Source organism: Homo sapiens, chromosome 14, assembly GCF_000001405.40.
Source record: "Homo sapiens chromosome 14, GRCh38.p14 Primary Assembly".
Taxonomy (NCBI): domain Eukaryota; kingdom Metazoa; phylum Chordata; class Mammalia; order Primates; family Hominidae; genus Homo; species Homo sapiens.
The window spans coordinates 26,529,043-26,554,216 of record NC_000014.9 but is presented as its reverse complement, the minus strand read 5'-3'; the positions used below and the strand labels follow the sequence as shown (position 1 = coordinate 26,554,216).

Below are 25,174 nucleotides of genomic sequence, written 5' to 3'. Positions count from 1 at the left end.
CCTCCCTCCCTCCCTCCCTCCCTTCCTTCCTTCTTTCTTTTTCTTCCTTTTCTTTCTTTTTCTTCCTTTTCTTTCTTTTTTTTTTTTTCACCCGTGCTGGAATGCAGTGGTGCAGTCTTGGCTCAGTGCAGCCTCTGCCTCCCAGGTTGAAGTAATTCACCTGCCTCAGCCTCCTGAGCAGCTGGGATTACAGGTGCATGCCACCATGCCCAGCCAGTTTTTTTTGTATTTGTAGTAGAAACGGGGTTTCACCATGTAGGCCAGGCTGATATTGAACCGGGGCCTCAAGTGATCCGCCCACCTCAGCCCTGCAAAGTGCTGGGATTACAGGTTTGAGCCACCTGGCCCGGCCTAGTCCTCCTTCTATGAGGACGGGAGAGGAGTACTAGCTCTCTGATGAGGTACATGTACAAAACTTTGGTGGGGAGCATGGGGGTTGTTTTTGGAGTGTCATACCAACCATTTCTGAATTGTCTTTTTCTATTCTTTCTCAATTTCTACCTCTCCACTATATTCATAGCCTCTGGCTGCTTGAGTCCCCATCAACTGGAGGCTCAAGTCCAGCTACTTTCACATTCACTACACTCTTTGCTTTTGCAGAGAGGGAGTCCAATTATCTGTACCTTGTCTTCCAACTCCATGTCTTTTCTCCCTCTCTTCAAATAGGCACAGAGAAGGGAAGTGGGCATGGGATAATAAGCAACTCTAACACACAAGCAGAGGTCCAACTGAGAGGTGAGATACCAGTCTTCCCTTCTTACTAATCTTTTAGATGAACTCTCGCTTGATTTGGACTCTCAGCAACAGCACTATTCAGCTACATTAAGTCAGTGAAGCAAACTCTGATGATTGCCTCATGATGGGGACAGGAGAAGGCACTTCTGGATAAGGAAGAACTAAGGAAGGTAAAGATGTTTAAGTTATGGAGGTGGAGTTGGCTCTCATTTGTTTAAGTCTGTCTTCCAAATATAAAATACTTGATAGATGCCTTTGTTCTTAGCCTTCGGTTCTAATTGCCAGCCCCTGGGCGATTGGAAAAGTGCTACCTGATATCTCATTATGTTCTTTTACCTGTCTTGCCTAGTAGTTTTATTCTTCCTAGCTACAGTGAAGTTCATTCCACTACAGCTGCTGTTGTAACCCTTTTAAACAGGTTATATCATTCCCTCAGTCAAAATACTGTAATGGCTTTCTAAAACAGTAAAAACAAAAAACAAACCCAAAGTCCTTATTATGGCTTGGAAGGCCCCAGGTGATCTGACTGCAGGTTAAGTTTTTGATCGCATGTTCCTATCTCAGAGCTTTGCTATCATTCTACCATCTGCCATCTGTATGTGGTATTCTAAAACCCCAGAGAGTAGAGTCACTTCATTCATTCTTCATTTAAGTAATGCTGCTTCCTTAGTATTCTCTGAATACATTTAAAATAGTATATTTGTTCTCTTCCCATCACTTGCTTTATTTTTGGTTTATACACTAATTTTCATACCTTAAATTGTATATTTAATAGTTAGTTATATCACTTACATTAACATGATTCTCAAGAGGGCAGGACATTGACTTCTTTGTTCACCACTTTACTCAGTGCCTAAAATAGTTCCTGACCCATAGGAAACAATGGATTTTTTGTTGTTGAGTGAATAAATGAATTAATGAATTCTAGCTATTAGATTCAATCTTTAGAAAATATATTTGACTTATCCTACATTATTTACTTTTCCAGTGTTCTACATAGTATAATTTTAATTTTTATCACTTTTATTATTTCTAACTGCATATTCCCATTATCATCACCCCAGTTGAATCATCCATACCTCTAATTGATTTTCTATGCTGTTAGAATTATTTTTTTATAAAATACTTACTTAAATGCCACTATTGGGGTAAAACATTCGAAAATTCCTTAACATAATTGGTCCTGTGCCTATTCTTCTTCTCTCCGTGGTTCTTACATGAACTCTATTCCACTCACATCCTTTTCATTGCAGTATTCTGAATGCTAAACTATGCTTCTCTTTACTTCTGTGCCTTTTTACATAAAACCTACTGCTATATATTTTTCACTGTGTGAATACATTAATGGAACTTCTACTATGAGAAGAGTAGAAAACACTCTTTACATTTGAAGTAGTTAGGAACCACCCATATAGTTGTTGTATGCTATTAATTTATATGTATTAGCAAGTCTTTTTCCTCACTGAGTATCTTTAGGATTTGTTAAGAATTTACTTGTCATTTTATAAATGAGTATTTAAGTCACCACAGTCTTGAGGAGCATACACTGTTTTATAATACTGTTTTGTAATATTGTGAATTATTTTAAAGGTGAGAATAATCTTTTTCTTTTTGGAGGATATGTATGTATGAATGGTTATTATATCTTTATATCTACAGAAAAATACCTAAAAGGAGTAGAGAAAATGATACATACAAATAAAAGTATTATGTGCATTACTTTTTAAAAAAATGTGATCCCTTGCTAGATTCTTCAAATTTAGATTTTTTGTTTGTATACTGTTATATAAATAAAAGACTGATAAATGAAATGACATTATTTATATAAAAATCAAAGCAAAATGTTTATTATATCTGACTCTATTCCAAGTAAGTACAGTGTGTGAGAAGGGACCAGTGTGGCTTTTTGAGAAATGCAGAATCCATAGGTATGTGGCAGGATTCTAAAACTTATACTTAACATTTTTATTTTGAAAATAATGCAGAAATGCATAGTTTGTGATATCGATCTATTTTAGAAGACATGGCTAAATCAAAAATAATATTATGAAATTACGTAGCAGTAAACAAAGGTGGAATCCCAAAGTTATTTGAGGTAGCTCTTTTGAACAATTATTACTATTACTGGTAATAATAGGCCAGGTATTATATCATGTGTCTGGTATGCATTAATTCATTTTGTAGTTGGACTATCCCTTCAAGTTACTATTATTCATTTTACATGAGAAGAAACAGCTGCTCATTTACACATTTAATTTTAGAAGGATTAATTCTGCTTGTTCAGTTGGGTTTCTTGAGTATAATTCATCAAAGTTTCTTAAACTACATGAGAGGTTACAGAGCCCTTTAAAACCTAACAAAATCTTATGGCCCATTTCCCCTGAAAATGTATGTATGGACTCATGTATTTTTATTTTAGTATGCAGTTTCCTAGAATTCCTAGATTTCTTAAATTTCATATGTGGACTCTAGATTGGGAATCTCTGGTCTATGTCTTTTAAAATAAAGAGCCACATCTTGTCACTTAAGGAAAATAATATATATTTACACTGTGCTTTATTATAGAAAGAATTTAAGAAAGCTGAAAGGAAATTGTCAGCTATCTCTAACTCCACTGAGTATATGCCAAATCAAATAAATTCTATTTAATTAGGAAGTGAGATTCAGAAAAGTTTGACTTATGGTATGCTAATGGTCAGGTTTGTTGGACTTTGTCACAAAGCACCCTCAGTCTGTTTCAGAAAGAAACCTAGGTGTGAATATTTTGAATAATGTAAAGTTACCTCTTCAGAGTAGTATATACATAGTAGCTGTGCCTAGAGCTAGGAGATGAGATAGTACCTTACAGCCTTTTGATTCAGTGATATTTCTCAGAGAATAATTATTGAATTTGATTTTCTGATTCCATCAAAGATAAATTGTGTGGACAGGTTGTTGTAGTAAAAGCAGAATGTGGTAATAATTTTCTGTACTAATGAGCTAAAGTGATCTCAAACTTGGTTGATTCATTCTTTATATGGGCTAAGGATGAAGACTGTGTTTAGGGTCTATCTTAATTTGATTTTGGAGAAGAAAAGTTGTCTTTTTATAAAACATCAGTAGTTGTTGAGGACTAATTTCAAAAAATTCTTTTTCAAATATAAAGTAATTCGGAATTTCAGAATAACTTTTTAAAAATCCCTTTTAGATATTTTATGGTACTTGTGCTTCAGTTTTGATGTCTTACCTATTTTGTTTTTTTCTCCCTTGAATTCTCATCTGAACCAAAAAATAATTAGCTGAGCAGAATAAAGAATCTTGTTGTATATGTTTGCCCGGTTTTAGGTAAATTTCTGTAGAAATAATGTTATAAATCAATATAAGTATTTGGGTTTTATTTTTTAACATATACGTTTTAACATTTGGTTTATTGTTATTTTGTGAATTGAGTAAGTATATTTCTACGTTTCCTGCAACCATTCTTAGCATTCAATTTTTAAATGAATGACAGCCCATCTGTGTAGGTCTCTTGTGACTGAGTGATGTATTCTGTTTTGCTGTGGCAAAGTTTTCAGACAGCCACTTTGTTCTTATATATTTTCATTTTCTATAGTACTTTTCATCCCTGTATGTATGTACAGGAGTCACTTCACCCACCACCGAATTGCAGCCACTTCTGAGGTGGAACGCAGCAACTGTTTAACAGCGCACTTTCCCCTAGGTGCTGACAGCTGCAGAAGAAATTGTACATGGTGCTGTACAGAAGGTATTTCTCCACTGTGCCATCTGCAGAGTGAAACTGACTAGGAGTACTACATAGACTGTAAGTTTCTTGTGTACCTGCCCTAGACTGGAAAGCCCAATAAGAGAAAATAACAAATAACTGGGAAACATCATCTAAAAGTGTATTGAGGTCAGTTAAACTTAGTGCTGCTCTCCCTGGCTCTAAATTTTATTTTAAGGTCTTCTGATTGGTACAAAATTAAATAACAAATAGATGGATGCACTCCTTTTTATTCTAAAAGCAAATGAAACTAAAATGCTTTTATCAATATTCTTCACTTTGAATGGAACTTAATCATATTGTTTTTAAATATTTTTAAGTAACCAAATCAATATTATAAGATTTCAGAGCCATGTTCTTAAAATAGCAAAAAAAAAAAAAAAAAAACTTGTAATTCAACAGGAACGTCTTAATTAACCTTGCTTCCAGTGTTTTATGTCTTGGTTTTAATACTTTCTTTTGGAGTTTTGCAACAAAGCCAGTTTATGATGAACTAGTTTTGATTCTTAGGATTAGAAACACCAATTTTGACTTCTTTTTTATTTTTATTTTTAATTTTTCTGAGATGAGGTCTCTCTCTGTCACCCAGTCTGGAGGATGGTGATGTGATCATGGCTCACTGCAGCCTCAACCTCTTGGGCTTAAGCGATCTTCCTGCCTCAGCCTTGCAAGTATCAAAGATAGCCTCCCAGCTATCAAAGTAGCTGGAAGCTGGCACTACAGGCATGCGCTACCACAACTGGCTAGTTTTTTTCTTTTTTCTTTTTACTTTCTGTAGAGATAGGGTCTCACTGTTTGAGACTAACCTGATCTCAAACTCCTGACCTCAAGCGATCCTCCTGCCTTGGTCTCCTGAAGTGCTGGGATTATAGGTGTGAGCCACTGTGCTCTGCTCAATTTTTTTTTTTCTTTAACATTTGGGGAAAAAAGTGGGGAAGAGAAGGAACAGTAAATATTTGAATTTCTGCTTACTGTAGTTTTAGTCTCTCCCATTTAATTATTTAATGAGATTTTCTTTTGTAAAAGCACTTTTATAAGAGTGCTGTCTTTAGTAATAGTTTGGCATGTTTATGCCTTATAAAATAGAGAAATATCATTAGAAACAGCTGTGTCTGTTGTTACACAACATGATAAGGAATGTTATATTTTGTTATTTTAGGGTTTTTTTTTAGTCAATAGTATGACATTTTATCTCTTTTCTGCTACATTTATAGACTGTTCTATGTGAAGAAATTAGAATCTCAAACTTCACAGAGTCTTAATCATATTAAATATGGTGTCATTTGGTTTAGGTAACTTTAAATTATGTGTCATAAGTTAAATTATAATGTGCACATATCTATGTTTATATATTCTTAGTCAAAGCAGATAAAAAATAACTTCATTCTACAGTTTGTTTACTTGTAAAATGAGGTAGGTAGAAGAAATGATTTTCTAGGGACATTTTAAGTGTTTTCCTTTTAATTCAGGGTTAGTAGTGTATGTATTTAGAATTGTACCTTACCAAGATATTTGGGCTTAAGTGACTTTATTCTAATTAGAATATTATTTGTGTTAATTAAATGCTGAGTGATAATGTTTTAGAATCAATAGAGGGGGTCGGATTTCCTACAAAGATTTTTAATTATCTATCTAATTTTGTAGTGTAGATAACTCCATTGTTATGAAATATAATCTTTGGACAATACAGCACAGTTCTTAGTATCTTATTCATCATGGAAGCATAAAGTGAGTAAGAATAAAAGGCTTTACTTACACTGAGTGGAAATTTACTTAAAGGTTACCAAAAACTCATATTGTAATGAGGCTTACCCTCTTTACTTGCATAGATTTAGTATTTCATTTAATAGTCAAAGCACTAAAGAAGTAAATGTCAATACTTAAAAATTTACAGTTTACACGTAATATACCTATGTATCTCTAGCCAAGAGAGTATTTTTATCAATATATGAAATATTCGAATTGCTATAATTGATTCTTTGGCACTTTCTACAGTGTAATTGTAAGTATTACTTAATCCCATTCATTTTATTTACTGAAGTCATCAGTATTTGACAGAATAGATTATATGTTTTATATACTAAATTTTGGTTGAAAAGGCACAAACTATACCTGCTTTGTGTGTCCTGGTATCTATTTTTAAATTATACAAGTTATTTTTTATATTTTAGACTTTATGTAGATGATAGAAGTTTGGCAACTTACTTGATTCAATATTTAGCCATATGAATCTTGTATTTTATTATACCCATAGTGTATGGGATTTGAAAAAGAATCAGATGGGAACTTTTTATTGAATATATTTCTGTATTATTGAATTTAATGAAAATATACTGCTTGTGTAATCAAAAATAAACTGTCGGTGTTTCAGTTAAATTAATTTTTTGGAACATTTGTTTAGTTTATTTAGAGATGATCACCATTTCATAAAACAGATACCTCTTATCTCTATTGGTGATTTTCAAAGGGCCTTCCTCATACTGTGAAAGGCCAGAATTGTGGGCAGGATTATTACTTAATTAGCACTCACTTAATAATTTTGGAATTCAGAAATAAATTATAGGTTATGAATAATTAAACTTTAAGGAAATACTTATTTTTCATCCTTTCTCATTATAATTTTCTATTTGTAATAGGAAAAATGAAGCAAATGCATAAATTATATGAATTTTAATTTAATTTAATTTAATTTTATTTTTTTGAGATGGAGTCTCGCTGTATCCCCAGGCTGGAGTGCAATGGCACGATCTCGGCTCACTGCAGCCTCTGCCTCGCGGGTTCAAATGATTCTCCTGCCTCAGCCTCCTGAGTAGCTGGGACTACAGGCATGTGCCACCACACCCAGCTAATTTTTTCTATTTGTAGTAGAGATGGGGTTTCACCATGTTAGCCAGGATGGTCTTGATCTCCTGACCTCGTGATCCTCCCATCTTGGCCTCCCAAAGTGCTGGGATTACAGGTGTGAGCCACTGCACCCGGCCAAGTTATATGAATTTTTCAGTACTTATGTATGAATGATAAATACTTAGACCTCTTGTGATAATGTCCTGGCAACATCTAGCTTTCCATTAGAGGCTTTAAGAAGAGATACTAGAACCAGCTGAAGAAATAGTGAAATTGGTGAGAAAATAGGAAACTATATGGCAATATATTTTTCATTGCAGAATTTATTCAATTTAAACTAATTTTAAAGAACATACATTTTAAAGTAGAATTTTAGTCCATAATTTTAAATTCTCAGATGTTCTCAGTTTTACAAAATACTCTTTTAAATTAGGTACATATTTTTATATCCCTCTCAAATAGATAATTTTTTAAAAATTATTTTTCTTATCAGATTTATCTGAACAAATTTTATTTGTTAGAGAGACGAAACACCTTCAGATGTTTTACTGTAAGCAATAGGGAGATGATTTTTCAATGTAGGATTAGGTGGACAATTCTTTTTATCCTAAGTGGTCAATATTTGAGTTACTTCATTTGATAATCAAGCTTTAGTATTTTATACACCATTTCTTATTATCCAAAATATAATTTATATTCCTAGACTAATATATGGAATTTGAATTTAAATGTTTTAGAATTAAAAATGAAAAATGTTTTTTTCTAAATGGTTTCCAATAGATTAATGGAGATATAATACTCATATCTTTGCTTTTCTTATTTTATATATCAAATGATTTCTGCTTATTTTTATAAATTTTGCAGTTATTTTTCAATATAAATTGAATTCATTGAAAATTTTAAATGTATAAGTTTGCGTAAAAGACTACTGATGCCAGAAACCTCATTATCTTTAATTAATCTTAACTGAATTAAGCATTTATTACTTTAAAATTTTTCTGTAATTCTGAAATTTCTATATGTCTTGTGGGTAAATGTGTGTGTGTATATATGTGTATATAATCTTTCTAATGTATTTTCTGAAGTGTGATCTCGAATCCTTACTGCCACTTTGTAGCTATTAATCAAGTGTAAATTGCTTAACAACTTTAAGGTTGTTTTTTAAGTCTGTTAATTGGGAATCATTTCACCTACCTCACAGGGTTGTTGTGAGGAAAAAACAATAAAACATATGTGAAAGAGTGCTTAGCATATAATAGATGTGCAGTGTATGAAAATGAGTGTTACCAAACCTTCAGTGGCCCCCATTGTCCTCAGGATAAAATCCAAATTCTGTGTCATGGTGTGTGTTCTGGCTCACCCTTATGTCTTCAGCCCCATTTCTTTCCTTGAAAACTGCACATATTGATTTATTGATACTGTAGTCTTTATAGTTCCCAGGATATATCATGCTTTCTTTTGGCCTTTATTGGAATGCACCATTCTTTTAAACTACTTACTTTCCCCTTTATCCCTAGGCTACTATCCTCTGTATAACTCAACCTCATCTGTCAGGCTTTGCTTTCTATTTCTTCTTCACTAAGATGTCTTCTGTCCCTTCTTCCTCACTTATATATTTTCTTGGATGATCCTTCTGTGTTTATTCTTTTCAGCAATTATTGCATGTAATGTAACTGCCTTTGTACTTGTCTGTTTCCTCTACTAGATGTAAAGTCAGAGAGGGTGGAGCCTGTCTTATTTGCCATTTTCCTCCACTACTTAAGAGTTTCTGTAACTCAGGAAATATTTGAACATTTTATAAGTAGATGTGTTCCCTAAACAAATTCACAACATATATAATATGAGTGCTACTCCTTAAGTAAAGCAATTTGGATTCTATATTTATAAAATGTATTTCAGGTCCCACAATAATCATAACAAAATGATGGCCATACAATTGGTCTTCTTTGCCCACCATTTATCACTCTAACGGGTTTATTAGAAGAGATAGACTCATTCAGGGTGCAAGCAGAGAGTTACTTTATTCTCTCTAGTCACTTTACATGCAGTTCCATTCTGAATATTATGTTTTCTGCTCCTTGATAAAATGCTGTTTAAGTGCTGTTATTTGCATCTCTACTCTATTCTTGCTTCTCTGCTGCTGCTTGCTTTTTTTCTTCTCAATTTTTTTCTTTCTCTCTCTCATTCTTTCATTCCTTCTTTTCTCACTCTGGCATTTTAAAATAGACTAAATTTTCAAGTAATGAAGAAAATGTTTAATGAATTAAAGTTTTAAATTCTCCTCCAATATAAAATGTCTTTTCTACATCAACCTTGCTCAAAGAGGGTTTAAAAACCTGAATAAGGAAGGAAATAGGTTGGTCAGCTAGTAGGCTGTTGCATTAATTTTTTTTTTTTTTTAACCTTATGTTTTCACCCTCCTCACTGTGCATCACCTAGGTTTTCTGAAGTTCAGGGATTAGAAGTAGGGAAGAACTAATTGGTAGTAAAAGTATGTTGGAAGTCTTAATGGATTCTTCTCTTGCTTTTCTGGATTCATCAAAGACTTCTAGTATTTGGAGATAACCCAACTATAGTTCCTTGATGCGGTTGACACTTTATTTGTCTGGTTTTGACTACCCTGCTTAGTTTCTGACTTTCTGGTTTATCTCTGTCCTCTTTGTTTTGGAGTTACCTTGTTTTTCTTTTTTCTTTTTTTATAGTCCTTTAGGTAAGTTCCTTTAAAAATGGATTAATGTTTTCCTAGGGGTTATCTGTCCCATGGGAAAATATATTTCTTTACTCCACCAACCTACTAAAGTACTGGCCAATTCTAAAGTAGTAGCCCAGACTGAGGGCATGAGTCTTTAATTAGTTACCACTCCTTGAGTGCCCTATATTCTAGATCATAGACTAAATTCTGAGTGCATCACGGTGCTACTTCCTTCTCAATCAATCTATAAGCTGCCTTCCCTCAGTATATGTTTATAGTTTTTATTTGAAAGGTGAGCTAAAGATAGCCTGAGCAATTTTTGGCCACATTCTTACCAACTGTAGCCTAGATGATCTGTCACCTCATTTCTAGTACATTGAACTTGTTCTCAGCTTTGGATCATTGGCTGAAACTGAGACAACAAGAAAATTCTCATTTTAATATCCTGTTACACTACCATTGTGGCATTGAGGCCATAATGGGAAGCTTGCTTTTCTATGAATGTCCATCCATTTCTGTAATTCCATGCCTTGTCTTATGCTGTTCTGTCATTTTGGGATGTCTTTTCTACCTTTTTTTCCTTCGGTATTCTACCCAGTCTTCAATGTCCAAGTTAAGTAAAGTCTTTATTGGTCTTGGCAGTTAGAATAAATATTTCTCTCTAGTGTGTTCTCATTAATACTTTGTTTCATGTGTTATTATATTACTTATAGATGTGTCTGTCTCTCTGACCAGATTATGAGACAGATTTTGAGACAGCCACTGACTTACTTATTGATGAACTTCTTATTGCCTAGCTCCTGTTATGTGTTTGGGACATTATATGCTTAATTAATGAATCTCTTCTGAACACTCAGATTGAAGTTTATAAAATTGTTAAGTAATTAATACTTCTATCTCCTTATTTATTTTTCTCCTTGTTCCAAAAAAAGTTTGAGGGATCAACAGTTAGTTTCTATGCCTTTTATCATATTTTTTGCTTTTTGAATTTTTAATTTTTATGGATACCTAATAGTTGTACATATGTATGGGGAATATGTGAAATTTTGATGCATTCATACAATGCGTAACGATCAAATCAGGACAATTGGGATATCCATCACCTCAAGCACTTATCGTTTCTTTGTGTTAGGAGAATTCCAATTCCACTCTTCTAGTTATTTTGAAATATATGATTATTACTTTTTAACTCAGTGGTGTTTATTTATTCTTAGGCAAATTTATTTTAGGTTTTAGTTCTGGTTTGGGCTAAATTAATTTTCTCCCATTTTCCTTTGACTTCTTTATTTTTCTTTCTCTTTAAATTTCAGTCTCTGTAGCTAACTATGATAAATAAAGATAATTAGATATTCCAAGTAGCTTCAAGTTGCAAGTAAAAATAACTAATTAATTTAATTAAATAGCTGTAATGATCTGTCACCCCATTACTACTTTTTTTTTTTTTTTTTTGCCATTACAAAATTTTCTGTTTCCTTTTTAAATTCTTCAGGGTTTCAGATTCCATCTTTAGATATGGTCAGAAATGATGAAAGACAAGTTATTGGTCATAAAAAGGGTTGGTTGTAAAAGAATAATATTCCTATAATAGAAAATTAAATTGTTATATTTATTGGGAGTAAAGTTCTGTTTCATTCAGACATTATCCTGTTATTTTGAGTGATTACCCTAAATAAGTTGTCTCAATTTGAAATGCAGCACCGAATTTCTGCCATTCCTCAAGAGAATAATAATGCAGTCTTTTTATAATAATGCAGTCTTTATTACTGAAATTTAGTCAAAAGTAGAATTATTTAATACATGTAGTCAGGCAAATAAGTAAAAATTAGATAACCAAGAAATCCAAAAAGCATTTTAAGTAGAGAAAATTGAAAAATTACCTCTATTTAAAAATTCTTTTTCCTGGAAAGTTCCAGATGAGTACAGATGGTATACTAAGAAAAGAGAAAGCATATTTTCCCTTCAAATCACATTGTTAAAGGCTGAAAGATGATAAATCAACTTGCCATATAATAGCCCAGTGATCTTTTTTCTTCCTTATTTTCATGTTGTTGGAAATATGAAGTTTTTAATAGATATGTTTACCTTACCTAATGACTTGCACCAATATGACTGGTGACATTTTAATATTTAATTTTGATAATTTTATCTGTTAGCACTTATTGGCTTAGGAATCTTAGTGAATGGATATTCTGACCTTTACATTAGGTTAAATGATATAGATGGCAGATCTCAGAATCAGCTCAATAAGGTGCCAGATATTATAATATATAATATATATGATTACTTGTGTGCAGTCATACTTCTTATAGCAATAACATTTTGTGTATTTTCATAAGAAGAAACAAACTACAAAATATGGCCAAGTGAGTCTCAGTTTTAGGTATCAAGAAACACTGTTTATCCCTGTGATTTTCCCTGCTCCTCAACCCTTGCAATAATTCAAACATTCTATTTACAACATCAGTAAAATACATTTTTCTTGTATTTTCCACTGAGTTTAAGGTGAACATCGACTTAGGATGGAACTTTGAGATTAGGAAGAACAAAATTCTGTTTTTCTGTTTTTGAAAGCATACTCGGGGAAACTAAAATGCAATAGACTTTTTGGCATGCATCTAGTATGTATCAATTATAAAATAGGAAAAGTGATGCCTAAAAATATAATTTCCTAAAATATGCCACCTGAAGTATATTTCTTTTAAATACTTGTTTTTCCCTTTGTTTCCTTATAAATGGCTCATTCTGTTTTTGAATTGTAAGATTGTATAGGACTTTAGAAACCCTCTTTTAGTGGGTCCAGTTAAAAAGTAAGTGATTAACTGTAAATTTTTTCATATACCTTGTTCTTTATTTCATAACTAATCCTGGATTGTGTTCCTATACAAAATACCTTACTCATGTTACAGGGAAAGTGCAAATAAGAAAACAGCCATCAATTGATACTTGGTTTTTATGCGTCTCTTTGCAACTCCAACTTCACATTTTCCCACTGTGCTTTAAAGTATGACAGATTCAGCATGCCTGAAAACCCAAATCAGAAGTTCCCTATTCTCATTCTACCTTCCAACCCCAATCATTCTTTGCTTATGTCTTCACCATATACTTGTGACTGTTTCCTCTCCTTTTACTTAAATATCATCCAATTTTTTTTCTGGATCCTAAATATTTTGCCTTTAAGATTTGTATTGAATCAGTATGGCTTATTCTATCTCTGTTGATAAAACTCTAGCTCATTACTTACCACAAGAAGTGATAAGTTTTTAAAAATAGGTTTGTGTACTAGTTTTACCACTGTATTTCCTTAAGAGTGGAAAGCACGTATTGTTCACCTTTGTGCTTTCCATGGAGGATATTCTCATAAATCATTTCTGAGTTCACTCAACTAATTGTGAAGTAGTTGATTCCTGGTATTTAAGTCTTAAAAATATTGAATGGATTGCTGAAAGTCAGATCAGTGCCACAGTTTAAAATTAATCTCACATTATTCCAACTTGATGATACTCTTATTAGTGTTACCACCAGGAAAGTACCTTAAATGAATTCTGAATAATTATTAAGAACACTTGGTTTGCTACTAATGTGAAAACAAATTTTACTTATAGTATGCTAGTACATGCTGGTTTGTAGGCTTTTACTATAATTTAGATGAACTGAGTTGTCTTTTTGTTTCCATTTTTAAAAATATGGTTACATGCCATTTTGAGGAAATAATTGTGGCAAAAGTCATCTAATTCAGCAGCCCCCGACCTTTTTGGCACCAGGGACTGGTTTTGTGGAAGACGATTTTTCCCTGAGGGGGATGGTTTCAGGATGAAACTGCTCCACCTCAGATCATCAGGCATTAGATTCTCATGGGAAGCACGCAGCCTAGATCCCTGCATGGGCAGTTCATAATAGGGTTTGCACTCCTGTGAGAATCTAATGCCCCAGTTGATCTGACAGGAGGCAGAGCTCAGGTGGTAATGCTTAATGCTTGCTCACCTGTGGCTCACCTCCTTTGTGTGGTCAGGCTCCTAATAGGTCAGGGAAGGGGTGTGGGGGAAGTGGGGATGGCTGATTGGGGACCCCTGATTTAATTGTTTAGGTCTCTTTTTTTACATTAGTCTCTTTGTGGTTCCTTCAGAGATAAAATACAAATGGGAAACAAGCTTCCTTGGAAATGTTACAAAAGACTTAAACCCAACTACTATTCTGAGGGTGGATCTGATTTATGCTAGTAAGAGGACACAATGGCCTCCTAAGAGGAGTAACTCTGCAGCAGGCTATTTTTGCTTCTTGTGCTAGAACTTTAGAGATAGCTTGTTTTTTTTTTCCTTTGCCTCTTATTATTATAGTCTTTGAAGATAATCACTAGTTTCTGAAAAATTTTATTACAAAAGTACTGTCATTCATATCAGACTGAATTTGAATATATGCTTATCCTTGCTTTTGAAATGTTTAGTTAAATTATTTGAGTTGTCAGTGTTATATAAAAATAACATTTTAAATGCAGTCTCTTAAAAATATTATTTCAGTCTATAACTTTGAATGCTTTGATTAATATAATCCTGTTTTCTTCCCATTTCTCTCCTCTTTTTCTTTTAGTATCTATGTGTATATATCTTTATCTACATCTATCATCTATCTATAAAGGCATATACACATATATATACATAAGAGCTCTTAATTTTATAAATCCACTTTTTATATTCTGATGTCTCAGTTATTTTCTTGGAAAAGAACTTTTCAAGTCAGTTTAATTTTATTTTGTCTTATTTAGAAACAAAATCTGAAGCCTGTATGTTTTGTTTTCCAGATTTGTCTGTATTTATATTAACGTTGGTGTGTGTTGCTTTCATATTATAACTATCACAAGTTTTGTGGCATTTAGTGAACCTAATGTAATTTACATTCTGTTATTTGTATAATCTGTTATTCTTATTCATCATTCATTCATTCATTTCTTCATTCAGTGTTTATTTAGTAATACTGTGTACCCGGCACTGTCCTGCATGCTGGGGATACAGGAAGTCTCTATGTTCGTGGAGTTTGTATTCTTGTAAAAGAAGAGGGAGATGTGTAACCCAAATAGAGAATTTTAGAGAGGCATAAATACAATGTAAGAAATAAGGGCATGGTATAAAATATCTTGGGGGTATATTTTAGCTAGGATATAGGAGAAGGATCATTTGAGTTGAACTCTAAAGGATGAGGACGACGAAAGTCACATTCTAGTCATCAGGAATAGTAAAGAAAAACGTCCTTGGATCAGAATGAGCTTAGCATGCTCAGAGAAAAGAAAGAAATGCTGTGTGGGTTGGCTATCCTTCAGAAAGAGAATGTGGCAGGAGTTGAGGTCTTTAAGATAATGTACAGGCCAGATCAGTAAGTCATAGTGAGGAGTTAAAATTTTACCATAATTACAATTTGAAGACATTGGATAGTTGAATGTTACGAACTGATTAACACTGAGGAAATTAGTTTACCTGCTGTGCAGAAGATGAACAAGGGAAAGGAGTGGGGGGCAAGAGCATTATTAGGGGGTTATTGCTGTGGTCCCAGCTAGAAATTATGGTGTCTTGGTGTAAGTCTTGTAGTAGTAGAAATGGTGAGAGGAAAGATGTTTTGGAGGAGCACTATTAGAATTTGTAAATGGATTAGAAATGGGGTAATCAAAAGTATCAAACATAATTAAACATTAAATATTCTTTGGAAATACAATTTAATCGACATAAACTTTTCCATGGTAAAAATGTAGTATAATTTTTTAAATTACACATCTATTTTTGATTATTAGTTTTTTCCTTAGTTTTGCTAAAATAAATGACATCATGTCATTTTCTCACCTCTCTGCCATTGAATGTAACAATGATTTTTGATGGCTTGTCAGTTTGAAAGGTAGAAAATTGTATCTTGCTATTTTACTTTGTTTGTCTTTGATTACTACTTAGATTCAAATTTTAATGTGTGTATTAACCAACTGTATTTTTCAGTTGTGGATTATTTCTAGTCTTGATTGTTTGGGGGATATTGGGTATTTTCTTTATTGATTTGAAAGGCCTTATTAATTTCCTGAGATAATCTAAAAGTTCCAACTTGATTTGGCTCTGAGTCTTTCTGATTCTCTTATGTCAGTTTCCCCCTGCCGTTTATGCTGTAGACAATCTGGACACTTCTCAGCCAAGCAAGTTTTGTATTGCCTCTTAGCTTTTGCACTTGTTCTCCATTTCTGGATCCCTCTTCCTCTACATCTTCACTCATGACTGTGAGAGAAGGTTCATCATTCATGTTCCAGTTCAAATGTCATATCCATAGAGGAGCTATTCCCAGTTTCCTAATATAATATCCCTTCTTACATCTTTCACATTCTATCACATTACTGTCTCTGTTTTGTTTTCTTTGTTCTCTCCTCATAGTCTTTTAAGGTCTTCACAGCACTTATCACTGTCTGAACTTATTTATTACTTACTTATTGCCTGTTCTTTCCACTAAGAATGAAAGAACCATGGGGACAGGCATCTAATCTGATTTGTTTACTGCTGTACTGTATGGGGCTATTGTTGGGCATATGGTGGGTAATAAATACATATTGTGGAGTGGATGATATAAGGGCATTAACCATTTGTTATAATCTTATACTTGTGTTCTTTCCCTTTTTGCCAATTGTCTCTCATTTTTGCTTATGGCTTTTTATATGTAGAATTTTGCACTTTAATAGAATCAAAACAATGAAGCTTTTGAAATTTAAAAAAACTTTCCATTTGAGATCTTCCATTTACCAATATTCTAATTTGAAATGTTTTTGAATATAGAGTTATCATTTATTTTTGTGAATTAGGGAAAGTATTTGAAGATAAAAAATAGCTCATAAGTTTATTTCTAGTTTGATTACATATTTTATAACATAGAAATTATATATAATTTTTTTGTTTTTCTTCACTTAATATTTTACCATGTGCATGTTTAAATAATATACCCTTCATTTTTCACAAGCATGATTTTAAAAATTTCTACACTATTTCATCTTAGGCATTTGATATATTTATCAATCCTTTATTATATATTTGTTTCAGTCTTTTTTGCTAATATACATTTAACACAGGGCATATTATTGTATTTAAGTTATTGTGTTCATTTATAATACCTCCATTATGATAAATTCTGAAACATAAAGTAGTGGATTTCCTGAGTCATTAGGAGTATAGTATACACAGTATTTTAAGACATTGAGTATTCATTGCCAAATTATGCTCCAGAAAAATTAAATCAGTTTACTCTCCTAGTAGTAGTGTATGTATGTGTGTGTTTATGAAATGTTCTAATTCCTGATATTGTGTGCTTTTAAAAACTTGGCCCATTCCTCTCCATGAATGCCCTCTCCCTCTAAAACTTTCTCGAAAAACTATTAGAATGTTTGTCACATACAAAATTAAAAAATTTTTACATAGTAAAGTCTGTTATCTTTCCCCCCCTTTTTTCCATTTTGTGTTTTTGCTTAAAATAACTTTTCTTATTTGAAGGTTATGAATATGCTCACTTATGGTTTGATCTTATTTTTTATGTTATATGCCTCTAATTTATATAGAATTTAAGATTTGGGGGGTTTTGAGAGTAGAAGTTCTCGCTTTATTTTTTCCAAATAGTAATCTAGTTATGCCAGCTATATCTTTTTAAATTTTTTTTAATTTTTTAACATTTTTATGGCTACATATTAGGTGTATATATTTATGGAGCACATGAAATGTTTTGATACAGGCATGCAATCTGAAAAAAGTCGCATCATTAGCAAGGGGGTATCCTTCCCCTCAAGCATTTATCCTTTGTGTTACAAATAATACAATTACATTTTTAAAGTTATTTTAAAATATACAGTTAAGATATTGTTGACTATAGTAGCCCTATTATACTATCAAATAGTAGGTCTTATTCGTTCTATTTTTTTTTTTTGTACCCATTTAACATCCCGCCTTCTCCCCAACCGCCCACCACCCTTCCGAGCCTCTGGTAACCATCCTCTACTTTATCTGTCCATAGTTCAATAAATTTGATTTTTAGATCCCACAAATAAGTGAGAGCATGCAGTCTTTGTCGTTCTATGCCTGTCTTATTTCACTTAACATAATCATCTCCAGTTCCAGCCATGTTACTGCAAATGACTGGACCTCATTCTTTTTATGGCTAAATACTCCATTGTGTATATGTACCACATTTTTTTTTTTTTTTTTGAGACGGAGTCTCGCTTTGTTGCCCAGGCTGGAGTGCAGTGGAGTGATCTCGGCTCACTGCAAGCTCTGCCTCCCAGGTTCACACCATTCTCCTGCCTCAGCCACCTGAGTAGCTGGGACTACAGGCGCCCACCACCACGCCCGGCTAATTTTTTGTTGTTGTTGTTTTTGTTTTTTGTATTTTTAGTAGAGACGGGTTTTCACCGCGTTAACCAGGATGGTTTTGATCTCCAGGCCTCGTGATCTGCCCATCTCGCCCTCCCAAAGTGCTGGGATTACAGGCGTGAGCCACCACGCCCGGCCTATGTACCACATTTTCTTTATCCAGTCATCTGTTTCTGCTGATAGTAATTTTTGAATAATCATATATACTATAATCATGCTAAATTTTTTTGCTTAATTTTTACATATGCCAGGGTTTTTTGAGAAAGGGCTATTTATTCTGGTCCACTGTTATATTAATCCTTATTTGATGTATTGTTTTTTAGTCTCTCTGTATTGTAAAGTATCTACTAGAATAATAATTCCCTGGCCCTATTGTCCTTTATTTTAAAAACTATTCTGGTATATTGCTACATTTCTTTTTCTCTACAAACTTAAAATTATTTTGCCACTTTATCCTTCCTAAATAAACCATATCCGTTTTTATTTTAGTGAAGTCACATTGAAAGTATTAACTGTTTGCATAAGATATTCTTGTAATATCCAGGATTTCTTATAAGAACTGAGATTTTTTAAAAATTATTTTCTGTCTCAGTAAAGCTTTTTTCTACACAGATATCTAAATATGTCACTTAAGGCAATTACTAGTTGTTTATTTCATGTAATATTATTCCTGGTTGCTCTTTTAGTATTTCTTAATTTACATATTTAGCTGATTATTATGCTTCTGTAGTCTATTAGTTTCCTGTGATCACTATAACAATTAACATTAATTTTGTGTCCTAAAATAATGCAGATTTATTCTGTTTCAGTTCTGATGGCCAAAAGTTCAAAATCAGCCTTACTGGGTTAAAATCAAGCCTCAACAGGTCTGGTTCCTTTGGAGGCACTAGGGAAGAATCCCTTTCCTTGTCATTTCTACCTTTCCTTGACTCTCAGCCCCTTTTAAGAATCACTCCATCCTTTTGCTTTTGTCATCACATTTTCTACTTCCTTTTTTAACCTTCTTGTCTCCCTCTTGTGATTATATTTAGGGCTCACTCAGATAATCCATGATAATCTCCCCATCAGAAGATCCTTAATTTAGGCACATCTGTAGGTCTCCTTTGCCATATAAAGTGACATTCCCAGGTTCTAGGGATTAGGGTGTGTGTATTATGTGAGTGACCTTTATTCAGCCTGCCCATATAGAATAATTATTAATTTTATACTATTTTATTTCCATTGATTTTATTGAACATTATGTTAAGTATTGTTGCTTTCAGTTCATTTTCTACCCAGTTATAAAATCTCCATGTGATTATATGTTTTTTTATTTTTATAGTAGTAATTTTATACCTGTTTCTATTTCATATTTTATTACTTCTTTCAATTTTAATGCAAATGCCAAAAATGTTTTCCTTCATGATATTTTCTGTTGTTTTCAGACGGGTATTTTTTCCTAATCATAGAGAAGTAATTTGTTTCTTGCTCTTTAACAGTCATCTTGGACAAACATGTTTAACATACATCTTGGACATATGTTTTGTTGTATTTATGTACTACCAAATATTAGCCCACACTTGCATTTCTGTATTAAGCTGTATTTAACTATAGTATATCAGTTTTTCAATATACAGATGGATTTAAGTTGCTTATATTTAGTTATGATTTTTAACGTCTTCATTCATACATTTGTGTATGGCTGAGTTTGTGTGTGACTTTCTTTTCCATTTTGATTATCAGAGTTATGCTAGTTATTAGTAAAGTGAATTTAAAGACATTCTATTTTTCCTCTATAGACTAGTTTATATTCAGTATTGAATACTTTTTGTAGCATGAAAATTCTCTTTGCATTTATAGTTTGAAATATCACATACAGCAGTCTGAGCACAGAGCTTATTTGAATATATTTATTTGATAGGCCTTTTTCATTTCTTGGCTATTTTTGAGTGAATTTTGATAATTTACCTTGTTCTCAGAGAGTTGTCCACTCTATCAAGATTTTACAGGACTATTTGTTGCATACCTGCTATGTATTAAGCATTGTGCTAGGTGCTGTGCATGCAAAGATAAGAATTTCCTAGGATTCTTAATCTCAGGAAGCATGTAGTGAGAGAAGTTAATTTTCTTAGGGTAGAGACATAAGAAATAGAAAAGAAGAAATTAACATCTAAACAGAACTTCTGATAACGATTTCCTCATGAATACAGGCAGCATGTACAAAGTCATAAAAATGGTTGAATACATGAACAATTGAGACATTTACAAGTAGATCATTACAGCTTGAGTTTAGGTATTGGTCAGGAAAGAGTAATGTATACAAATTAGAAGCTGTATTATGGATTATTCCTGAATTTGTACCTTTTCCTATAAACATTGATAGACTGTTAATAATGTTCATTCTGGGTTTATCATCAGTATATTCACATTTTAAAAGATTATTCTGATGGCAATAGGGAGGGCTTTACTGAAGGAAGTGGGAGTGGTTAATGCTGGAACCACTTACCCATTGCATTACCGCAAAATGCATAAGTGGCTCCTAAGCGAGGGCTACAAATAGAGATAGAAATGAAGGAAAGACTATATATAAACAAATGCTAAAGAAATAGACCAAAGATTAGTTTACTGATTGGATACGGTAGATGAGGGAGAAGTCAAGACGACTTCTAACTTCCTGTCAGTTGTATTAGAACAAAATGTTTTCCTTGTCTTTATTTCAGACGTGATAGCTCTGATTTCATTTGAAAGACTTATTATATTCTACACAGACTGTATCATTAACATGAAAATGTGAATAGGAATATCAATGTCAGGATCACATTTTTAGTTAGAAACCAAAGTTATCTATTATAGACAATATATCTAATAGCTAGGAGAGAAAAAATAGACATTCTAATAAGATTTCTGAACCATATAGCATGGTGATCTAAAAATCACATTTTATTTATGATGTTTTTAGTACATCTTCACTTGGAAAAATGAAATAAAGAATTTTATAGTAAAAGAGTTTAGACATACTATTTGAAATTTGTTTGAAGTTGTTTCTCACCAAATATATTCCAGGCATTCATAAGATATGGATATCAAAATGAAATACCCTCTGCCCTCAAAAGGTACAAAAGTCTCGTAAAACATGTCTTATAAAGGTGATTTTCAAGTATCTGCCCATTACATACATCAGTAATACAAGCTCATGCAACTGCCACCATAGTCAAGCTATGGTATATTTCCATCATGCCAAAAAATTTCATTGTGCCCCTTGCCAGACCATCCTTCCCATCCATCCTCACTTCAACATTCCTTCCTTAACCCCCTCCTGCCATAGGCAATCAGTGATCTGTTTTCTGTCACTATAGATTTGACTTTTCCAGAGTTTCATTTATATAGAAGCATACATTATGTAGCCTTGTGTCTAGTTTCTTTTGCTCTGAATCATGTTTCTGAGATTCATCCCTGATTTTGCATGTGTAATTTATTCCTTTTTATTGTTGAGGAGTAGTCATTGTCTAGGTGTGTGTATACACAGTTTATTTATCTATTAATGGACCTTAAGTCGTTTCTAGTTCTTGACTATTAGGAATAAAATTGCTATGAATATTTGAGTACAAGTCTTTGTGCAGAGTTATGCTTTCGTTTATCTTGGGTAAATACTTAGGAATGGTATATCTGAGTCATATGGAATATTCAACTCTGTGAAAAACCACCAGGAGGGGTTGTGTCATTTTACATTCCTGCCACTATTTCATGAGCTCTCCAATTAGTCCAGATCCTTACCATGACTGTACTTTGTGGTGTCAGTCTTTTTAAAATTTTAGCCATTGTAATTTGCGTAATTGTATCTCATTGTGATTTTAATTTTTGTTTTCTTAGTGGGTTTTCATGTGCTTTGTGACCATTGCTTTATTTTCTTTTGTCAACTCTTCAAACCTTTGGTTGTCTCTATTGGATTGTTTTTCTACTAATCAGTTAGAAGAGTTCTTTAAATATTCAGGATACAAGTCCTTTGTCAGATATATGTGTTGTGAATATTTTCTCCTGTGTTGTTCTGTGTCGTGGTTTACCTTTTCATTTATTTGTTTGTGTCCTTCCAGGAGCAGAAATTTTTAATTTTCATGAAGTCCAGTTTGTAAACGCTTTTTAAAAACCTGTCTTACTTTTTGCATATTAAGAAATGCTTGCAAATGTCAGATTTTCTCCTACAAGTTTTGTTTTGTTTTGTTTTGTTTTGAGACGGAGTTTCGCTGTTGTTGCTTAGGCTGGAGTGCAATGGCGCGATCTCGGCTCACGGCAACCTCCACCACCTGGGTTCAAGCAATTCTCCTGTCTCAGCCTCCTGAGTAGCTGGGATTACAGGCATGTGCCACCACACCCAGCTAATTTTGTATTTTTAGTAGAGACGGGGTTTGTTCATGTTGGTCAGGCTGATCTCAAACTCCCGACCTCAGGTGATCTGCCTGCCTCAGCCTCCCAAAGTGCTGGGATTACAGGCGTGAGCCACCGCGCCCAGCCTCTCCTAGAGGTTTTATAGCTTAATTTTTATGGTTAGATCTATGGTTCATTTTGAGGTCATGTTACATATTGTGTGAAAACAAATTTGATCAATAAGTATGCTTAATTAAGGGAAATCTAAAATTGCTATCATCACACATTTGACAGACTCTAAATAAAGAAGGAGTAGATGGATTTTTTTCTGCTGAAGTTAATTTAGTACTGACTTATGTATGAAATACTGCTCTAGTTTTTGTACCCATCCAACAAATAAAACATGCCTTGTAAAATAATGACTTTCCTATTAGTAGTGGGTTTAGGTGGAGACTGCTAACATTCTGTATAGAATGAATGTACATATTAATGTCTCTTCACAGTACTTGTCACATGCAAAATATTCAGTAAGTGTTGTTTTTGGTTGTTAATGTTCATTATTGTTAATGTCATTCGTATTGTTATAATTATTATATTTAGGATTCTTGCCTTGAGGAATTTTAGAAAGGATGATATTTAGATGAAATAGGTTTGGTTTCTGTAATTTATTTACTTAATACTTACACATAGTAGTCATACTTTTTATGTTTTTTTTCTGCCCTCCCAACCCCTCACACACATAAGAAACTTAATTGTTAATGGGTTCTAATACATAAGTAATAGGAAGCAGTGTTTTTAGCATCCTTTGAATGATCTCCTTTGTTTGCATGGATAATTCCTGAATACTTTTTTGAAAAGTTCAAGAACAGTAGATGTAGAATAAACAGCGCAAGTAACATTTTACCTACGCTTCCAGTCTTTTCCCAGAGATAAGTATTATAGATCTGATCTGTTTGCTTTCAGATAATTATCTATACATTTATACTGATATATATTTATTTATATATAGGCACATTTGTAGGTGTATTTTTCTTTGTAAGCCTAAATGAACATATTATACTTGCTTTTTTAATCTTAACAGAATGTTTGATAAATCTTTCCGGGTTGATACTTTCTTCATTCATTTTTACTGCTGTATATTATTTAATAGGATGAATATACCATAACTTATTTTTCAAGCATGCAGCAGGTAGACAAGTGCGAGGCCAAGCCTAACTGACAGAATCAGCTGGTAAAGGTAAAATGAGTCACTTTTAGGCTGGGCGCGTGGCTCACGCCTGTAATCGCAGCACTTTGGAAGGCCGAGGCAGGCGGATCATGAGGTCAGGAGATCGAGACCATCCTGGCTAACATGTGAAACCCCGTCTCTGCTAAAAATACAAAAAATTAGCCAGGCGTGGTGGCGGGTGCTTGTAGTCCCAGCTACTCGGGAGGCTGAGGCAGGAGAATGGCGTGAACCCGGGAGGCGGAGCTTGCAGTGAGCCGAGATCGCGCCACTGCTCTCCAGCCTGGGCGACAGAGTGAAAAAAAAATGAGCCATTTTTAGATTCAGATAGTTTATTATTTACATAGACAGCAAAAGGAGGGGAAGCTAAAAGTATCACATCTCCAGGTCCTCATCACATACAGGAAAAGGACAACATGAAAAACAAAAGGCTGCATGACTGAAGTGTGAGTCCTAGGATTCCCCATTGCTGAAGACTCAATTCTAGAGTACAGCTAAATACTTTTATAGTGTGCCACTATACCCTAAGGGGTTGAAGATTAGGAAGAGTGAGGCAAAAACTTCATACCTCATTAGAACCTGGGAGACCATGAGAAACTGTTTGTGATAGTCTCCCATTCTCTCATTTTCCAGAGGATCACGAACCATTCTGCTAAGATACAGATTACCTGCATTTAAAGCCATTCACTGTGTGGCCTATAAGTATACATTCACCATTGCTGGAGCATCATGATAGAGCCATTCCCCTACAACTCCAACCCTTGACCTTTCCCATATCAGGTAACAATTCCTCAAAGGCATAACCACTTCGGCTGGGCGTGGTGACTCATGCCTGTAATCCCAGCACTTTGGGAGACAGAAGTGGGCAGATCACCTGCAGTCAGGAGTTCAAGACCAGCCTGGCCAACATGATGAAACCCCGTCTCTACTAAAAATACAAAAATTAGCTGGGCATGGTGGTGGGCGCTTGTAATCCCAGCTACTTGGGAGGCTGAGGCCGGAGAAATGCTTGAATCTGGGAGGTGGAAGTTGCTGTGAGCCGAGATTACACCACTGCACTCCAGCCTGGGTGACAGAGCGAGATTCTGTCTAAAAAGAAAAAAAAGGAAAAAAAAAAAAGCATAACCACTTCATTAGATACTACACTTAATTGTACTTTTAGGGGCTGAGAGCAAATATGCCTCCTAGTAGGGTGATCGGGTGTA

General features: G+C 33.7%; 1 protein-coding gene across 13 annotated transcripts in view; it reads left to right on the top strand.

The window, feature by feature from the left end:
- NOVA1 (NOVA alternative splicing regulator 1) overlaps window positions 1-25,174 on the top strand; it is a 154,944-nt gene that overhangs the window by 43,817 nt on the left and 85,953 nt on the right. For 4 of the 13 annotated variants that reach the window (NM_001366390.2, NM_001366391.2, NM_001366395.2 and 1 more), the window contains exon 3: window positions 4,436-4,537. The exons of 8 other annotated variants lie outside the window; for them this stretch is intronic. The gene's annotated coding sequence lies outside the window, so the exon portion shown is untranslated. Of the gene's footprint in view, window positions 1-786; window positions 906-4,435; window positions 4,538-25,174 lie in introns of those variants that run through there. One more of the 13 variants, NM_001366398.2, reaches the window with a different exon arrangement.